Source organism: Homo sapiens, chromosome 8 (assembly GCF_000001405.40).
Source record: "Homo sapiens chromosome 8, GRCh38.p14 Primary Assembly".
Lineage (NCBI taxonomy): Eukaryota > Metazoa > Chordata > Mammalia > Primates > Hominidae > Homo > Homo sapiens.
In genome coordinates, this window is record NC_000008.11 from 123689396 (window position 1) to 123707616 (window position 18221).

General features: G+C 45.3%; 1 protein-coding gene across 2 annotated transcripts in view; it reads right to left on the reverse strand.

Moving 5' to 3' along the window:
• Positions 1–18221, reverse strand: part of ANXA13 (annexin A13) — a 56600-nt gene that overhangs the window by 8602 nt on the left and 29777 nt on the right. For both annotated transcript variants that reach the window (NM_004306.4, NM_001003954.3), the window contains 6 exons: positions 13247–13341; positions 8994–9164; positions 6293–6326; positions 6107–6186; positions 4316–4384; positions 3802–3903 (listed from right to left, as the gene is read on the reverse strand). In NM_004306.4, the coding sequence (NP_004297.2) occupies positions 3802–3903; positions 4316–4384; positions 6107–6186; positions 6293–6326; positions 8994–9164; positions 13247–13341 (551 nt within the window). The remainder of the gene's footprint in view (positions 1–3801; positions 3904–4315; positions 4385–6106; positions 6187–6292; positions 6327–8993; positions 9165–13246; positions 13342–18221) is intronic.

Below are 18221 nucleotides of genomic sequence, written 5' to 3' on the forward strand. Positions count from 1 at the left end.
TGCACCTCCATCCTCTCCCTTGTCTTGGGACCAGGGACTTAGTCACAGTTTGAGTGAAATAAGTAGGCATGGTGAAGTTCATGATAACAACTTGATCTAAAGTTCCTGAGAGGGTGGGTCTGCAAGGGCTGGGAGCCGGGGGTGCTGACCACATCAAAATGCCACTTGTCTTCACTCTGGGGTGATTCCAAATAATCCTATATTCACCACTGGCTCACATATTGCTCTGCGCAGCATTACACATTAGGTTTCTTTCTAAATATTTACAGAAGCTGAAGTTCAGAGTAAATTGTGACTATCCTTAACACAAATACTGCCCGGGCCAAGCTCAGGGCAGGCACATAAAGAGAAAGGAGAATGCTTTGCTGGGTTTGGAGAAATGCAATTAAGCATTAGAAACACTGAAATTTCTTTCTTAGAAATTATCTTTTGAGGATATGACACAATTGATTCTATAAATAATTGGGGACTTTGAGTATGCACCAGTGGAGTTTATGTGGTTTATTTTGAAAACACAGGTAAACAAAATGTTCTTTGTGATGTAAGCACAATATATGTCGGGGGAGGAACTGTGTCCAGATTTAATGAAGCCCTGTTGCTTGATCTCCTAGTCATTGTTTGCATATCTGGAGGCCTTGGTGTGTGGCAATAGAAACCAGATTAGAAGAGTGGGGGAACTGTCCCTTCCTTAGCTGCCCCCAGTCTTTTTTGGGTTTGATGTGGGAGTCATTATTTTGGAAGGGATTGGTATCCCTTTCCCAGAAACAAGGTTCTTGTTCTGTAGACTGAGATCATACTTCAAGAGAACATTTTGTTCACACAGGTCTTGTTTACTTTAAAAAATCCTCACATTAAACCGTTTTCCATTTCTATTGTTAATACCAGGCTAGAGCAGGGATTTTAAATTTTCTGTAGAATCTCAGCCTACAAAACAGATGAAAGCAGAAAGCAGAGCTGTGCTGGGAGGCGGGAGGTGGGCTCCTTTCCCTTGCCATTGGCATCTATACCATGTTTTTGCCCGCTCAGGTTTTTTCCTTGCACAACTCCAGGAGGCGCTATTCACACACTGCAACAAGAAGGTACTGCCCTGTCTGCTTCCTGCCCCACCCTACTCCTGGTAGCTGCTGAGGCGTCTCCGTGGGACACAATCTGAAACAATGGTCTGGCCCAAGCTGTTGGGACTGTACTTTGGATACTTCTCACTTCAGTTACTGCAACGTGATTCTTAGGGGCTCTTTGTACAGAAGCAGATTTTCTGATCTCAGTAGAAAAACACATTATAAGGGTAGATTCCAAACAAGTCTCTAAGACTCTAGTTAAACAGGCAGCAATGCCTGCAGGGAGGTTATTAGAGGAGCAGGGGAGACATTTCTTTCTTTGAAAATCGGTTTCCCCAAATGGACGGCACGCTGACAGCAGAGCCCTCTGTGCTCTGGCACTGACTATAGCAGTTAGAGGGCTGAAGCCTCTGGCGTGGAATAAGGAACATGTACAGGGGAGGGGCAAAGGGTGAGGCACGCAGTGAGGTGGCAGCAAAGTGGGCTATGGGTATGCATACCTACTGTTTATGCTGAGCCCTGTTTGGGGACTTTACTTTGGTTTTATAGCTATATAAGTCTTTCATATTTGGTAACGCTGGGGACTGTAATAATCCTGCATGATGCAGAAGTTTGGGAAACTGTTGCGTGGCCTGGGATTGCTGGGAGTGTCAGAAGTTAAGACTCAGGCTTAGAGCATAAATAAATGGCAAAACCCTGAGTTTTTGTGCTGAAAATTAAAATTCAACCCTAAGCCAGGACGACTCATGCCACATAAGAAACTCCAGTGATCTCAGACTAGCATCTCTGTGCTTTTGGTCAGAAGCCATCAGAAAAATCATAGAACCAGGGTCTAAGAGCAGGCTGAACTCTAAAAACATCAGCAATAAATATCAAGAATGACACTTGAGCAAGGCTTTTGAAATGGATGAATAGATAGCATTTTAGAGCTGGTTTCATGTAAAGAATCATCAAATCCATAGATTACCTTATTGTACATATAAGCTTTAGCCCTGATTTTTGGCACTGTCTGTTCACCCAGGGAGACGCCCGACAATTGCTAATGTTCATTGAACGCCTACTGCATGCCAGGGACTAACTGCTTATTTCTGTTAACTCATTTAATCCTTATTAACCCTATGAAGTAGGTACTATTATCCCTATTTTACGTTTGGGAAACCGAGGCACAGAACCCTTAATAACTTGCACAAGGACATACAGCTGTAGCCTAAAGCTGACTTCTTAAACTGTAATATACATTAAAATCACCTGGAACACCTGCTCTAACACAGATGGTCAGGCCCTAGCCCCGGGGAATCTGATTCAGTAGGTCTGGTGGGGACTGAGAATTCTCAATTTAAACAAATTCTCAAGTGATGCTGATGGTGCTGTTTCAGGATCAACTTTGAGATATTAGCCTGGAGAGTGTACTTTCAGGTAGTCAGTTCATACACACACACACACGTACCCAGAAACTCCATCTGTGGGCTCCGTAGTGTGGGAGGAGGATCTCAGTCATAGAGAAGTCCTCCAGCTCAGAGGCTACGCAGCTCCAGGAACAAGAGACCAGGGGAGTGCAGGGTCAGCTGTCTTTGATCATGACTCTGGGCACGATTTGAAAGGAGCAGGCCCTAAAGGCTTATATACAGTCATGATAAAATTCCAAAGCTTTATTGTCTTTTTATCTGCTGGCAACACATAGGAAATGCTATTTGGAGTGAGGAGTGGCCAGCTTCAGCTGAGGTAGGAGCTCAGGCCGGGGAGTCTTGGAGTTCTCATCCACTCTCTGCTACCAACTTGCTGTGTGGTCCTGATAAGTTACAGATGGTTCCTCACTCAACAGACTTTCCTTGTCCAGCAGTTGTGGGTCACAATAGTTGTTCGGCCTACATTATAGTTACCCTGTTGTTGTGAAACTGAATGAGACACAGAACATAGAAGTGCTTTGAGCAGGTAAAAGCACTCTACACATATAAAATAGGATGCCAAAAAAAAAATCTGATATTCCACTCCAGGCGTTTTGCAAGTAAAGACTGCTTTTCAGGGAAGGACTTACTGCTAAGGGCCTTGAAATAACTAACTCGCTTTGTGGGCTTAAATTTATCCTGGGATTAAAATATAATTTATGTGCATCTTTTCAGGAGGCTATCTTTGAGGTACCTCATATCTGTCTTGAGAATGGTGGGCACTGTTAGCCAACTGTAAACTGGAGTAATAGTAGCAAACATTAGTATGCTTGCCACATGCCAGCTCAACTGTTCTGAGTCTTTATCTTATTTAACCTTAAAATCACTCTGAGGGTGTGAAGATGATGTTCACGGTTCCTGTTCTACAAACAGGATGGAGAGATTTGGTCACTTGCCAGTGGTAGACCCAGGATTTGCACCTGGACTCTTGGACTCTAGAGCTTCTCCCCTGAATGGGACACTTGCTTCCCTGGCGTCTGTTGTGAAGCCGGTTTCCAGCCTGGGTACTGCATCTGGGGCTGGAGGATTCTTGGTGGTGGGCTGTCCTGTGCACTGCAGGCTGTTTAGCGGCATCCCGGGCCTCTGTTCACTAGATGCCAGGGCCACCACCCCCAGCTGTGACAACTCCAGATAATTCTAGACATTATCAAATATTCCCTAGGTAGGAAAATCGCCTCCAATTGAGAACCACTGTTGTAAAGGATCCCCAATTCCTTATTGCAGATCTTGGCTTCTTTTGGAAATAACTTAAGACACTTTCAGAGTGAACTCTTTTGCCCCAATACTTTATGACTTACAATTTGATAGGCTTGAAAGGTGGCTCGTAACTGCTTGTAGCTCCTCTTGGCCAGGACTTCATTGAACGCAAGCTCATCAGTGCCCCAGCGGCCTTCCCCTGCCTCAAGGGTCAAATACAAACACTTTGAAAAAGGCTTTTGTGAAAAGACTGATTATGCAGTGCTGTGACTAGGCCTCACTGACAGGAAATTATAAACTATGCATTGAATAGAAGTCAAATGGACTAAGCACTTTCAGCTTCTAACCCACAAATGTATTTCACATACTTATTTATATTGTTTATACCATTCTTTGTTCCAAAACAGATCTGATGTGGTCAACCCCAGAGTATAAGAATAGGAACCATTCATTTAGATTCATGGAGACTATATATATGATCTAGAAAGATCTAAGCATATCTTTGTTTCTTATTTCCCAAGTAACTCCTCTTTGCATGAAATAAACATTTGTTGAAAATAATGCTAATAAATTTAAAAAAAGAATTTGCAGAGACTGGCATGTCTGCACACATACATCATACAGATCTTTGGCATCCTGACCAGCTAGATCTTTGTCCACGTCATCTCCTTCATTGCGATTAGCCTAGAAAAATTGACACATTGTTATTAACTTGCATTCCTGCTTGACCACAGAAAACAAACTAACAAAAAAAACAAAGTCCTGGAGAAAGAGGTGAATTCTTTCTCAGCTCAGCTCAGTTCAGCCTGGCAAGGAGGAAACACCTGCTCTTTGCTGCCATCTTTTGGGCACAATGGATAAACAGAGGAGCTTCTGTGGCAACACTTGGTTTTGCCTTTTTTTTTTTTTGTAGAAACCAGAGTCACCCACACACCCCACTGACCTCTGAGCAGACTGAGTGCGATCTCTGGTTTTCCCTAGAATGAGTCCCCTCTTCGTTTCAAAATATCAGATTTCACCACTCAAGGTCCCAGTCCTAAAAAACCCTGAGAGCTGGTCATGGAAGTCTAACTTGAGCCCTTTGTGGTGGGCAGAATTCTAAGATGACCCAATGGTCCACATCCTTGTATAATCCCCTTCCCTTGAGTGTGGGTGAGAGCTATGAATGTGAGGAGATGCCACTCCTGTGATTGTGTTATATTCAATGGCAAAGGGGAATTTTGCAGATATAATTCAGGTCTCCAATCAGCTGAGTCCACCAAAAGGGAGATTATCCTTGGCCGGCCTGACCCAGATGAATGAGCTCTTCTTAAAAGGTCAGAGATGGAAGAAGTCAGAGAGATGAGCTGCTGCTGGACTGGAAGAAACCAAACAGCCATGTGGTGCACTGCCTTGGGGGACTGTGTGGAAGGGAGCTGCTGGCGGTCTCTAGGAGCTGATAGTAGCTTCTGGTCAACAGCAAGAAAATGGGGACATCAAACACAGACATAAGGAAATGAATTCTGCCAACAATTAATGAGCTTGGAAGAAGACTCTGAGCCTCAGATGAGATGGCAGCCCTGGCCGACACCTTGATTTCAGCCTGTTGATAACCTGACCAAAGGACTCAGCGAACCCAAATATTATTCAGCTGGATCTCCAAGATACTACTTGGACTCCTGACCCATGGAAACTGTGAGATGATAGATCTATGTTGTTCTGAGGTGCTAAGTTTGTGGCGATTTGTTATGCAGCAAGAGAAAACTTAAACTCTCTTCCTGCTGCAGTGGAAGCCTCTCTCTTCTGTTCTCTGCTGTCAGTGTATCCCATTGGGAGAAACAAAACAGAGAAAATGCACAGAGCTCGTAAAGATGAGTGTGTCCATAAGAATACAGATGTGTCTGTCTAGAGGTCTCGGGGGGCTGTGTCCCAGCAGGGCCAATTCTGAAAGCCCTGATGTCCTGGCTGAGTTTCTTGTTGTAGTCCTTACAGGCCCAGGATCCAGTGAATCCTGGAAGTAATTGTAGAGTTGTGTTGTGGAAGCGGCCCTGCTTGGGGTCAGATAGTCTGGTTCTTGCTTCTGGGCTGTCTCTTACTGGCTGCATGAACCTGGGCAGGTTACCCACCCTCTCATGGCCTACATTTCCTCACTGGCAAAATGACAAAGTGATGCTTAATGAGCCGATTCATTTACAAAAAGTGATTGTAAACTGCAAATGACTAGGCAGATTGTTTATATGGAAGTAATTCCAATTGAATATAATTTCACCAGAGCTGGGCTGATGGAGCATGGGTTGATAATCCCTTGATAATATTTTTAATATAAGAAAGAAATGTTTATCTACGTTACCCTTTTTCATCATGGTGCCATGTTGCCAAGGATTCTTTCCTAAGATGATAAAACAGGTGACACCTCTTTCCTCTTACCTGCAGCAGAGACACCAGGATTTTTTTTAGGTTTCCACTTGTATCACCTTTGACATCTGATTCGAGGCTCCTATCAAATACTTCGAAGGAAGTAAACAAGGAGGGAAGAAAGCAGATGATTTAGTTTCCCAGAGGTATTTTGAAAGAAACATACTTTATCCAAAGCCAGAATGAAAAGTCACTTACGCCTTTGGTAGGCCTCTTTAATGGCGATGATTTCCTAGGGAAGGTAATTTACAAAAAAATCAATATTCCAAGGAGGGATTAATCAATAAGAGATACAGAGAGAAGAGGCGGGAGACCATGTCTGGACACAAAGTGCCTTCAAGACTTCCTCTTAAGATGGTCATCCCTATAGGTCCAGGGCACACGCCTGGAGCGAGTCCCTGGAGATGTGACGGCCCGCCCCCCCCCCACTCCGCCCACCTCTGCAAACATCTCTAACACACAAGTGACAAATGCATGCATTCTCTTTCTTTAAATGTGAGAAGTTTACAGCTAGGCTAACACCTTCTTTCACCACCTCCTCGCCTGGTCTCACTCTCTCTTCCCCACTCAGGTAACCCATGTTAGAAGTTCAGTGCGTATCAGAAAGATACACAGATTTTTTTTTTTGCGTTTGTATATATATGTGCTACTGAAAACAGAATTGTATAGGTGTCATGTGTTTAGCAGGTGGAATACTGTACCTATCATTCCTTGACTTAGTTTTTCTCTCAATAATAGTATCCCGGAGATCCAGCTATGCTTGTACATGGATAGTCACCTAGAGTTTTTTAAAGGGACACAAAATATTCCATACTACAATAAGCTACGGTTTACTTAGCCAACCTCCTATTGATGGAGGCTTAGGTCGTTTCCAAGTTTTCTCTCCTTCAAACAAGGCTTCGTTCAGTAACAGACTGGCTGCGTGCAGGAGTGCTAGTTTCTCTTGAGGGTGTGTTCTTGGAGAAACTGCTTTATATTTCAATGTCTGGTGCCAAGGGGTGCACCTCAGGAGCTGCCTCAGTTTACACTTGAACCAGCAGCTTGTAAGAGCAGGCTTCCTGCTCCCCCACCCCCCCCACCACCAAGCTGGTTAAAATGAAAGTCAGTAGGTGGTGATTGGGAGAAGGTGGTGATGGGGAGAAAGCGGTGGGGAGCCTCACTGCTCCTGGGTGGGAGGGAAGGGCAGGCTAGGTGCTGGGGGAGGCTGATCACTTGTGTTTGTGCAGCTCCCTCCCTTTTCTCCTTCCAACCCGCAACCAGGATCTGCCTGAACCTGGCACCCACTCTCTGCAGGTTTTTCTTCTCATCCCATCAGATCTATTTGATTGATAGAGAGGCCTTGCTTATTGGTTGAAGCCAGGAACTTAAAGAAACTAGGCTGAGGGAGAAAAAGCTATGATCACATGAGATTAGAAAAATATATATGAATATATTTTTTGAGACGAAGTCTCGCTCTGTCGCTCAGGCTGGAGTGCAGTGGCACAATCTTGGCTCACTGCAACCTCCGCCTCCCGGGTTCAAGCGATCCTCCTGCCTCAGCCTCTCAAGTAGCTGGGATTACAGATGCATGGCGCCACACCTGGCTAATTTTTGTATTTTTAGTAGAGACGGGGTTTCATCATGTTAGCCAGGCTGGTCTCAAACTCCGTCTGACCTCAAGTGATCCTCCTGCTTTGGTCTCCCAAAGTGCTAAGATTACAGGCGTGAACCACTGTACCTGGCCTGAAAAATATGATTAAAATTAACCTTTTCACAAAGGCAGGTGCTGACCGCCCTGGCGTTGGCTGCCTCCCTGCTGGGACCTTGGTGCTTCTGAGAAGGGTGGATGCTGAGTGGGGGAAGTTGTGTGCCTCTTGGCCTCAACTCACACTCCCGGGGGGCCTGTGCTAACCCTCCTCCGAAGCATCATCCCAACCTGAGACTCCTTGAAATGGAGGATTTTTATTATCTTGTGGGGAGAAAAGAAGTCCGGGGATGCTCCAGAAAAGGTTTGCACCTGTAGCCTGGACCCTGGCGGCACTTCAGGAAAAGAGGCTGAGCAGCGTGAACGTGGCCCAGCACCCAGGCCTTCTCCAGGCATTTTTGTGTCAGGGCACTGTTTGCATTTTGCCTGCTGTCTGCTCCAACATCTGCTTCTATTTCCTGCTGAGAGGCCTCAAGAATGTTGGGCTCTTCTGGCATTTTCCTTGCTGGGCTGCCCCATTCTGCTGTCATGTGTGGTTGCTGAAGAGGGAGGGGTCTCTCCTGTGAATTATTTGTGGACCCTCTTGACTTGATGAGTCCCTTGGTTCTCCTGGCTTCTGGAGCCAGAGACAAATAGTTCTCCATGGGGCCTCAACAAATGCTCTCTTCAGCCCCTGCAAAGGTGGCATGTGCCGAGTGACATCCCTCTGTCTGATGACAGAAGGACACACAACCCTTCAGGGTAGTACTGGCAGCCACTGGGGTGTTCACTGGCATCCCCCAGCACCACTCACCTCTCTTCCTCATTATAGTCTCTTTTGTACCCTATGCTAGCTGACCGCCATAGCCCAGGCAGTGGCACAGGCATGCTTGGGCTGCTTGTTGATTTTTCATGTCAGAAGAGCCGCAAAGTCAGGCTGGGTGGGGGAAAGTAGAATTGTGCCTCCTGCTTATAAAAGCATCAGTTTAGAAAAGCAGAAGCTCGCTGGACACAGCTCTTCTGAAAAGATCGATTCTGTTAAGTGGCAGCAACACCAAGACTGACCTCTGGAAGACTGGAAGAGATGTCCTCCCACATGGACCAAGCACACATATGTCTCCCCAGACACCTGCTCAGTCCATGGATAGAATGCTGGGAAGTAGGGTCCCTTCTGGGGGGCTGCAACCATCTCTATTGGGTGTGTGATGCTCCCTTGCGGGCTCAGCTGGGACTGACCTTATTGGTCCTCGTGCACAGGACCTCAATGAGGACGGACTCATCTGTGCCCAGACCCTTCATAGCCTTCTGCAGCTGCCGGGCGGCGTACTCGCTGGGACGGTCCAGAAGGGCCAACGCTGTCTTCTCGAAGTTTCCACTCAGCTCACTCTTGAGTACTTCCTCCAGCTCCTACCAGAAGACAGTGAGAGACGTGCTGGGAATGGCCCAGGAGGAGAGGGGCAGGTGTCTGCTTGCACTATTGCAAGTGCTCATAGTTGACAAGAAAGGTGCTGTGGACATGAATTCTGCCAACCTGCAACCTGCTGAGAACATGCAACCTGCTCTCAGCTGCCCATCCACGTTTCCCCAGGGCTGGCAGAGAGGCAGAGAGGAGCTCCCTGCTCAGGGCTGGAGACCTCACCGATGAATCACAATAACAACAGTATCTGTGGAACATTTGAGAGCTCAGAGAGCTTTTTCAGCCAGTCTTCAAGATCGCTGAAAAAATCCTCAAGATCTGTTGAACCTGATAAGATGAAGAATTTTCCCCAAATATTCAGCTAGGAAGGGCTGAAATACAGGGCTGTTATCTCTAGGACTGGAGAATTTGTCATCCAAATTGGGATGCCTTTCAGTGTGAAAGGGGGCACTATTAGCAATTGCAGAGGATAACAGGAATAAAGAGGATTGTCATGGGAAGAACGACGGCCTGTACCGTCACTTCCGTTATCTCGCTAAATCCTGGAAGGGACACAGGTGAAGAAGAATGCAGGTATGTAGAAGGGGAAGTACATGGAATTCTTACTGGCATCTGTTTTTTTCTTTGTTTGAGACAGGGTGACTTTGTCACCCAGGCTGGAGTGCAGTGGTGCAATCATGGCTCACTGCAGCCTCGACCTCCTGGGCTCAGATGATCCTCCCATCTCAGCCTCCCAAGTAGCTGAGACTACAGGTACACACTGCCATGCTCGGCTAATTTTTAAATTTTTTTGTGTAGAGATGGGGTTTTGCCATGTTGTCCAGGCTAATCTCAAACTCCTAGGCTCAAGCGATCCTCCACCTCAGCCTCTCAAAGTGCTGGGATTATAGGCGTGAGCCACCATGACCCCAGCCTGCCATCTATTCTGACAAGCACCTGTCTTCCTCTTTTCTTTGAGCACCCTCTTTTCACAAGAAAACTAACTACCTTCTCCCTGTCTCCCTCTGACAATGTGGTTTAACAGGAGAAATGGTCAAGGATGGGCATCAGCCTACCTAGAGTAGTTAATGCCCTAACTTAAACCAAAGACCTTCACATAGAGCGACAGCCTGGGATGGCTCAGATTGGAGGCCCATAGACAAGCTGGCATTTCAAGGACACAAACTATAGCATAGGGTGGGCAGCTCCCCAGCAGTGTGGCATGGTGGCAAAGAACACAGCCACAGTACCTTTGTGACCTTGGAAATGTACTTAATCTCACCAACTGTCAGTTTTCAGCTCTAGAAAATGGAGACAGTGCTAGACTGACCTCACAGGGTTTTTGGGAGAATTAAATGTGACAATCCTTGTCAATACTGAGCATTACTGCCTGACATATTTTAAACGGTCAATAAATGCTTATCATTAATCTCCCATGCTGAAAAAAATTTTCTAAGAGGAGGCACATCAACTATTTTTCAAATGAAGCTCTGAGCTCTTGGCCTGGGAGAAAAACCCGGAATATTTTTGTCCAAAGCCCTGGGATCTGCAGTCCTACAAGGGGGCTGTTATATTATGCCTCCGCCCCACAGTGGCTGCTCCAGCCAACACTGCATCTTGTGAAGGCAGGTCTGTGGTCAGTACTCTATGGTGTGGAGTCATCTAAAAATTGGAAATATATTTTCAGGCCAGATGGGCATTATATAAGCTGCAGAGAAGAAAAATCCCAGCTTCCCACTCTTACAAGCCACAGGCATAAAAACAAATCCTTGTGTGCTTACATTCTGACTGGACAGAGTAGAAGGCTCGGGATAGCTCAGCTCTACTCCTGGTTTTCCTGCTGACTCTGTTACCACGGGGTGGTTATTCTCTTTGGAGGTCAACTGACACGGGGCTGAGATTGGATCATACCTAACATCTTCTAGCTTTGCGTTGTTGGGATTCTAGATTATCTGTTTGGCAGTCTCAGTTCTCTGAAACACAGCTGAGAACCAGAAAGTAAGCAAATGATTGGCAAATGAAGTATCACAAAGTTTTGTGCCAGAACATGCCCATTTAAGTTTTAACAGGGCCCCTAGGCTTTCAGTTTGAATCCATTTACTCTTCTTTAGACTAAAGACTAAAGATTAAGAAGCATTGTATCCGATTTTTCTTTCTTTCTTTCCTTCTTCCTCTCTTTCTTTCTCTCTCTCTTTCATTCTTTTGTTCTTTCTTTTTCTTTCCTTCCTTCCCTTCTCTCCCTTCCTCTCCACCTCCCTTTCTCTCTTTTTCTTTTCTTTTCTTTCTTTCCTTTCCACAGGGTCTCTCTCTGTCACCCAGGCTGGAGTGCAGTGGTGCAACTACGGCTCACTGAGGCCTCAACTTCTTGGGCTTAAGCAACCCTCCAGCCTCAGCCTCCTGAGTAGCAGGGACTACAGGCACACACCACCATGCCCAGCTAATTTTTTATTTTTGGTAGAGATGAAGGTCTCAACTGGTCTCAAACTCCTGGGCTCAAGTGATCCTCCTGCCTTGGCCTCCCAAAGTGTTGGGATTACAGGTGTGAGCCACCTTGCCTGGACTGACTTTTCATATTGGTAGGGTGAATGTGTCTTGGGAGGCTACTGGAGTTAGGGATGTTGACAGGGATAAAAATTCAGCTTCAGGCCAGGCACGGTGGCTCACACCTGTAATCCTGGCACTTTGGGCTGATGTGGGCAGATCACGAAGTCAGGAGTTTGAGACTAGCCTGACCAAAATTAAAATACAAAAATTTTACTAAAAACACAAAAATTAGCTGGGCATGGTGGCGCGTGCCTGTAATCCCAGCTACTCAGGAGGCTGAGGCAGGAGAATCGCTTGAACCCGGGAGGCAGAGGTTACAGTGAGCCAAGATTATGCCACTACACTCCAGCCTGGGCAACAGAGTGAGACTCCGTCTCAAAACAAAACAAAACAACAACAACAAAAAAAACCACACACACATTCAGCTTCATGCATTCAATTAAATGCAGTTGAACTGAAGATGCACTTATTTTCATCAAAAATTACATTGACGCACCTAATAGTAAGGAGAGAAGCAGAAAAAGCACAAAAGCACAGCCATTTGGGCCATTTAGTGTACAAGCAAATAGCTCTATTTATGGCACTGGGTCCTCCAGGAATGGATACTGTTCTTGAAGTCAGGAGACTTGGATGTGAGACTTGGATGTGAGTCCTGGTTCTCTTTTTTTTTTTTAGGTGTGTGATTTTGTAAAATGGAAACAATCATAGCTATCATAGCTTTTTCCTGTATTGGTACATGCTGGCATTATCCTGACTGATTCTCCCAGCAACCTGAGAAGGGAGCTAAGTTATCATCTTCTTTCTATCCATGAAAAGACCAAGGCCTGAAGCAATTGTTACCTGCTCAGTATCAAATAAATAGGAAAACCCATCTTCATCTTTCTATATATCTATTTATACCTACAGTGATTGAAATGGTAAAAGTTTGAAAAATATAAATGAGAATACAGCATAATAATTGATATTCATTTTGCATAATGATAATTCTAATGACATTAAGAAAAGTTTAAGTTGTGTTCATTACATATTAATAAAGAAATAAGAAAGCCTAATGCATACTTGAAGACTTCTCTCTATAAAATTATTTTCAACAATAAAAAGAATGAAAGAAAAGAAAGAAAATGTAAAGAAAAATAGGTGTTGATAGCTTAATAAAATGGAGAGTTTTTTTGGTAGTTTTCTGTAACAATCGCTTATGAAAAATTCCTGTATAAAGACCCACTTGTGGAAACTGATTTTCAAATTACTGATCTAGCTACATATGTACAGTTAGTCCCAATTAAGTGAAAAAAAGACTAGGGTCTTCATAGAAAAATGAAGTCAATTTAAGAAATGAGTTTAAGAGTATTGATTTTACAGGCTATTGAGTTAACAAAGCAATTTCAGTTTTTCTGAACTCCATTAATGCTTTTAAGTGGTTATTTCACTTTTCCTCCTGGGCTGACTCAATAAAGCTATAAAGATATTCTGCGTGGCCTGGGGACATGAGGAAGCCGAGACGGCTGAGGCCATGGCTGGGTGCAAGCTTGCTGACCACCCCTGGAATCACCTTGCCGTACGTTGCCTTGTACTTTTGCTTGATTTGTTGCCTCTCATCTGATGTCCTGCCCGATAAGATTTCAATGATGGCTGCTTCATTGGTCCCTAAAATACAGGAGAAACAAACAAAGCCACAGTGAATAAGAAACAAGGTGGAAGTTTATTTTAGTCCAGGGTGAGGAAGCCAGGACTCACAGCTTAAAGGTGGTTGGAGGTGTCTATGGAACCCAACGGACCCTTAGCTTTGATGCCTTGTGCTGAAAACTGTATTCTTTTCATTCACTTAGACAAATAGCCATTGAGGCCTCACAGCACATGGCACACAGTGCTAGGCATTGTGGTGGAAAGAGGAACGAGTATGGCTGGTTCCTTAATTTTATTCCTAGGGAAATGAAAACATATGTCCACCCAACAATTGCATGTGAATGTTCATAGCAGCATTACTCATAATAGCTCAAACGTGGAAGCAGCCCCAGTGTTCATCACCTGAAGATGAATAAACAAAATATGGGGTATCCATACAATGGAATGTTATTTGGCCAGAAAAAGGAATAAATTACTGATAGATGTTATAACATGGATGAACCTTGAGAACATTATGCTAAGTGAAAGAAGTCAATCATAGCAGATCACATGTTATATAATTCCATTCGTATGAAAGTCCGGAACAGGAGAATATACAGAGGCTGGAAGTATACTAGTGGCTGGGGGTGGGTGGGCTGCCTAGGGGGATGGTAGCTGGAGTCCAGGGCTGCTTTTTGAAGTGATGAAAATGTTCTAAAATTGACTGTGGTGGTGGTTGCATGCATCTGTGAGTATAATAAAAACTGTTGAATTGAACACTTTAAATGGGTGAATTATATGGTGCATGAATTATATCTCAATTAAAATGTTTTAAAAAACAAAAAGGAAAAAGATGGCCTGTTCCTTGGCCTCTGGGTGCTTACAATTGCATGAACAAGATTAGGATATAGGCTGAAACTGTTACAATATTAACCCCACCCATACATTTGTTAATCTCAGGAGAGAAGTCTTGATTGAAACCATGAAGGGAGGTTGCCCCTTTTAACTCCTATTACCTTTAGATTATGTTATTTTTAGAAGCTTTTTTACCCCTGATGCTCAAAGTAATACAAGCTCATGGCAGCAATTTGATCAGTACTGAAAACTATAGTGAATAAGAAAGAAGGGGAGAATGTCCTTGTTTGAACCAGGAACCAGGATCGGAAAGATGACACAGGTATTTCCAGTGTGCGAATAAGAAAGACGGTTTTACCATCAAACCCCACATTAGATTTATTCAGGTTGGACTCAAATCACAGCTCCACCCTGTACCGACTGCATGACATTGGGCAAGTGATTTTTCTTGCCAAGTCTCAGTTTTCCCACCTCTAAGATGAGGGTAATAGTATACAAGGCTATTGTGAGAATGAAATGCGAGAATCCAAGTGTGGGTCCAGTCCGCGGTGGTCCTAAGCACGCACGTGGGAAACCCGGGACACCAGGGGATGTAAATGACCACGCGCCTGGCACTGCCTCACATCCATGCAGGGTGTGCACAGGGACCACCCTCCATGAACTGCTCACCCCAGTGATCGAGCTCGGTGGGATCAAGGCACAGCAGTCAGCAATCTCTGGAGCTGGAGGAAATGTTAGAGACTATCTAGTCCAAGCTCTTCTTTACAGAAGAGGAAGCTGAGGCACAATGCAGCACCTCTTCTCGGTTCCTGCATGTACCTGACTGTTCTGCAGCATTTGAATTCTGCAGTCGGGAATTATTTTTTTTTTTTGAGACAGGGTCTGGCTATGTCACCCAGGCTAGAGCGCAGTGGCATGATCACTGCAACCTCCACCTCCTGGGTTCAAACAATTCTCCTGCCTCAGCCTCCCGAGTAGCTGGGATTACAGGCACCCACCACCATGCCCAACTAATTTTTGTATTTTTAGTAGAGATGGGGTTTCACCATGTTGGTCAGGCTGGTCTCAAACTCCTGGCCTCAGGTGATCCACCTGCCTCAGCCTCTTAAAGTGCTAGGATGACAGGCATGAGCCACCGCACCCGGCCTGCGGTTGACAATTCTTTGCGTGAAACACCTTCCTAGATGGCTTTGTACCTCCTTTCCCAGTCTTTCCTTTCTCCTCTCCATCACCTCCCTCTCAGGGTTCTTGATTGGCCTGTATTCTTCCACTGGCCTTTTAAACTCGATTTTCAGTTCTCCTCTCTATTGGAGTCACTCCTTTCCCAGGCGACTTTCGCCCTTTGACTGATGACTCCAGGATCAGCGCCTCTAGCCCTAATCTCTCCTCTGAGTTCAGATCTTATTTCCAGCTGCCTGTAGTCAACTTCCCACGGATCTCCCAAGGCATTTCAACTTCCATTGTAGCTTAAACCAAACTCATTTTGTCTATCCTTAAATCCACTCCTCATCCTGTTCCTTTGTCTCAGTGCATGGCATCACACGGATTAGAGAAAATCCAAAGTCACCTTTGAGGGCCCATCAGTCTTTTTTACTCTCAAATACTACCAAGTCCTGCCTGTCTCACCTATGAGACAACTCTTTTACCTGTTCCTCTTCTTCATTCCTTCTGTCACTGCCTAACAGGTCCTAAGTGTTTTTAGCCTTCACCCCGATACCAGGCTCTGATCTCTGCAGTCCACCCTGGGAAGCTCGCATGTGTTCACTTCACACCATACTTTAAATACCTTTAGTGATTCCTCTTGACTCCTAGAATTACATCAGAATCCCTTATGGTGGCATCGAGACTTCCCGCAGTTTGGTGTCATGCTACTCTTCTAGATCCATCTCTGCACAGAGCAGCCCAAGGCTTACTCACCTAATCTCAGCCACACTTGTTAAGTTTCTGCTTCCTCTGTTTTGGCACAGCACACTATTTACATGTATGTTTCTAGGATCACTGCAGTGATTATCCAAGACTGCAGTAGTGACATTCTGAGCCCGACACCTGGGCTCTAGGGAGTGGCCACTACATGGCAGTGTGTGCTGTTACAGTGTCACTTACTGCTGTCTTGCTCTGGTTGGTGTGTGGACCTAGATGATGGCTGCCACCCAGCTGAGCCATCAGGATCCTGAAGGAACAAGATCGTGCAATGCATTTTGATGGAAGGGTTGAGAGTAGGAAAAATCTAGGCCATGGGGATGGGAAATGAATGGAGGGAAACTAGCTGGAGATGGGGTAGAGAAAAAAAAGGGAGCCCTGGCAAAAAAATGTGAGCTGTTTAACCCTCCTTCTGCTCCAGCACCAGCCCTCAGAGTCAGCTTTGGAAAGACAGAGAGGCGACTTGGAAAGACAGGCCTGAGCAGGGGTCTGATGTGACAACCATGTTCCAAACCTTTGGGTCCTTGAACCGTTCACTTAACCTCAAAGAGTATTTTCACCTCTACAGCTCTGGGAACATTTAGCTGTTTGGTTTCAATTGGAGAAACAGAATTCTAGGAGGATCTCACTTGCAAAAATAGCAGGAGTGAGTTGCCTGCCTGGTGCTGGCTTGGTTTCAACACTGGGATTCACGTTGTCCTCCTTCATTTCCTCCCGGAGCTTCGCCTCCATCGTGGGAATCCAATTACTCATTCTATGACACTATTATGATTTTTAAAAAAAAACTTCGGAGTGTCAGAAATCTCACTTCAAAAGGGATTTCTTTTTCTTGTAAATATCTCTTGAGCCTACCTCTTTCTTTCCATTCAGGCCACTCCTGTCCCAGACGAGGGCCTTGGCCTCTCAGGCCTGGATCCTGGCAGGTGCCAAGCCCGGAAGGAGCCTTTCTGCGTGCAGGAGACCCACTCACTGTACTGGGCCAGCCAGGAAGCTGGGGCTCAGGCCTGGCTGTCCCCTTTCCCTCACCCCACATTCAATCAGACTAAGGCCTCTCCATTCCACCTCCTTAGTGCCTCTCAGATGCACCCATTTCTCTCCATCCTCATCTCCACCCCATCGCTCAGCAGAACTATGGATACCACCCACATGCAAGTTCCTCTGTTGCTCTCACTTTTTCCAATTGGCATTCACTGCCCCCAGAACAACCGTTCTGAAGTGCAGATTGGCCTGCTCACCCCTCTGCTTCAAACCTTTCAGTATAGGCCCTCTCAAATGCAGAATGAGGCTTCAACTCTGCAGGGGGGCCTATGGGGCCTTTTGGCCTCTCAAAGTCTCATCCTCCTACCTGTCCTCTCCCAGGCTACTTTCCACCCACTTTGTAGATGATTTGCAGCTCCTAGAACAAACAACACTTTCTTTCTTGCCTCTGGGTCTTTGCATGGGCTGTTCCCCTCATCTGGAACACACCAATCCTCACCTCCACTCCTACTTCTCCTTCAGGTCTCAGCTCCCTGCACACTCCTGGACAGATGAGGCATCTCGCCCTCTGTGTCTCTCATGCTGCCTGCTCTTCCTGTTTCTGCCAGGACACATGGCAAATTCCACGGGAGCAGAGTATTTTGTTCACCATGGTATTCCCACAGAAGGCTGTCAGTATTTATCAGATGACTTGCTGAATGAACGGATGCTTAAACATGTGCACAGATGAATGAATGAATTGATGGGTGAATGAATGAATGAATGGATGAATGAGGAAGTTTGCATGTCATCACGACAGAACCTTGTCTCTGAAGTGGTTTAAGTTGTATGTGATATTCAGATGGGTCTGTGTAGCAAGGACCAATAGAAATCCTCCATACTCTGATGCCACATGGAGTCCACAACTGGATAATCAGGAAAATGAAATTAATATTGAAAATAATAGTGATCTTTAGATGTTCTTTTTGGGAATGCTTTAAAAAAAAAGAGACCAACCCAAATGCCCATCAATGATAGACTGGATAAAGAAAATGTGGCACATATACACCATGGAATACTATGCAGCCATAAAAAAGAATGAGTTCATGTCCTTTGCAGGGACATGGATGAAGCTGGAAATCATTATTCTCAGCAAACTAACACAGGAACAGAAAAGCAAACACTGCATG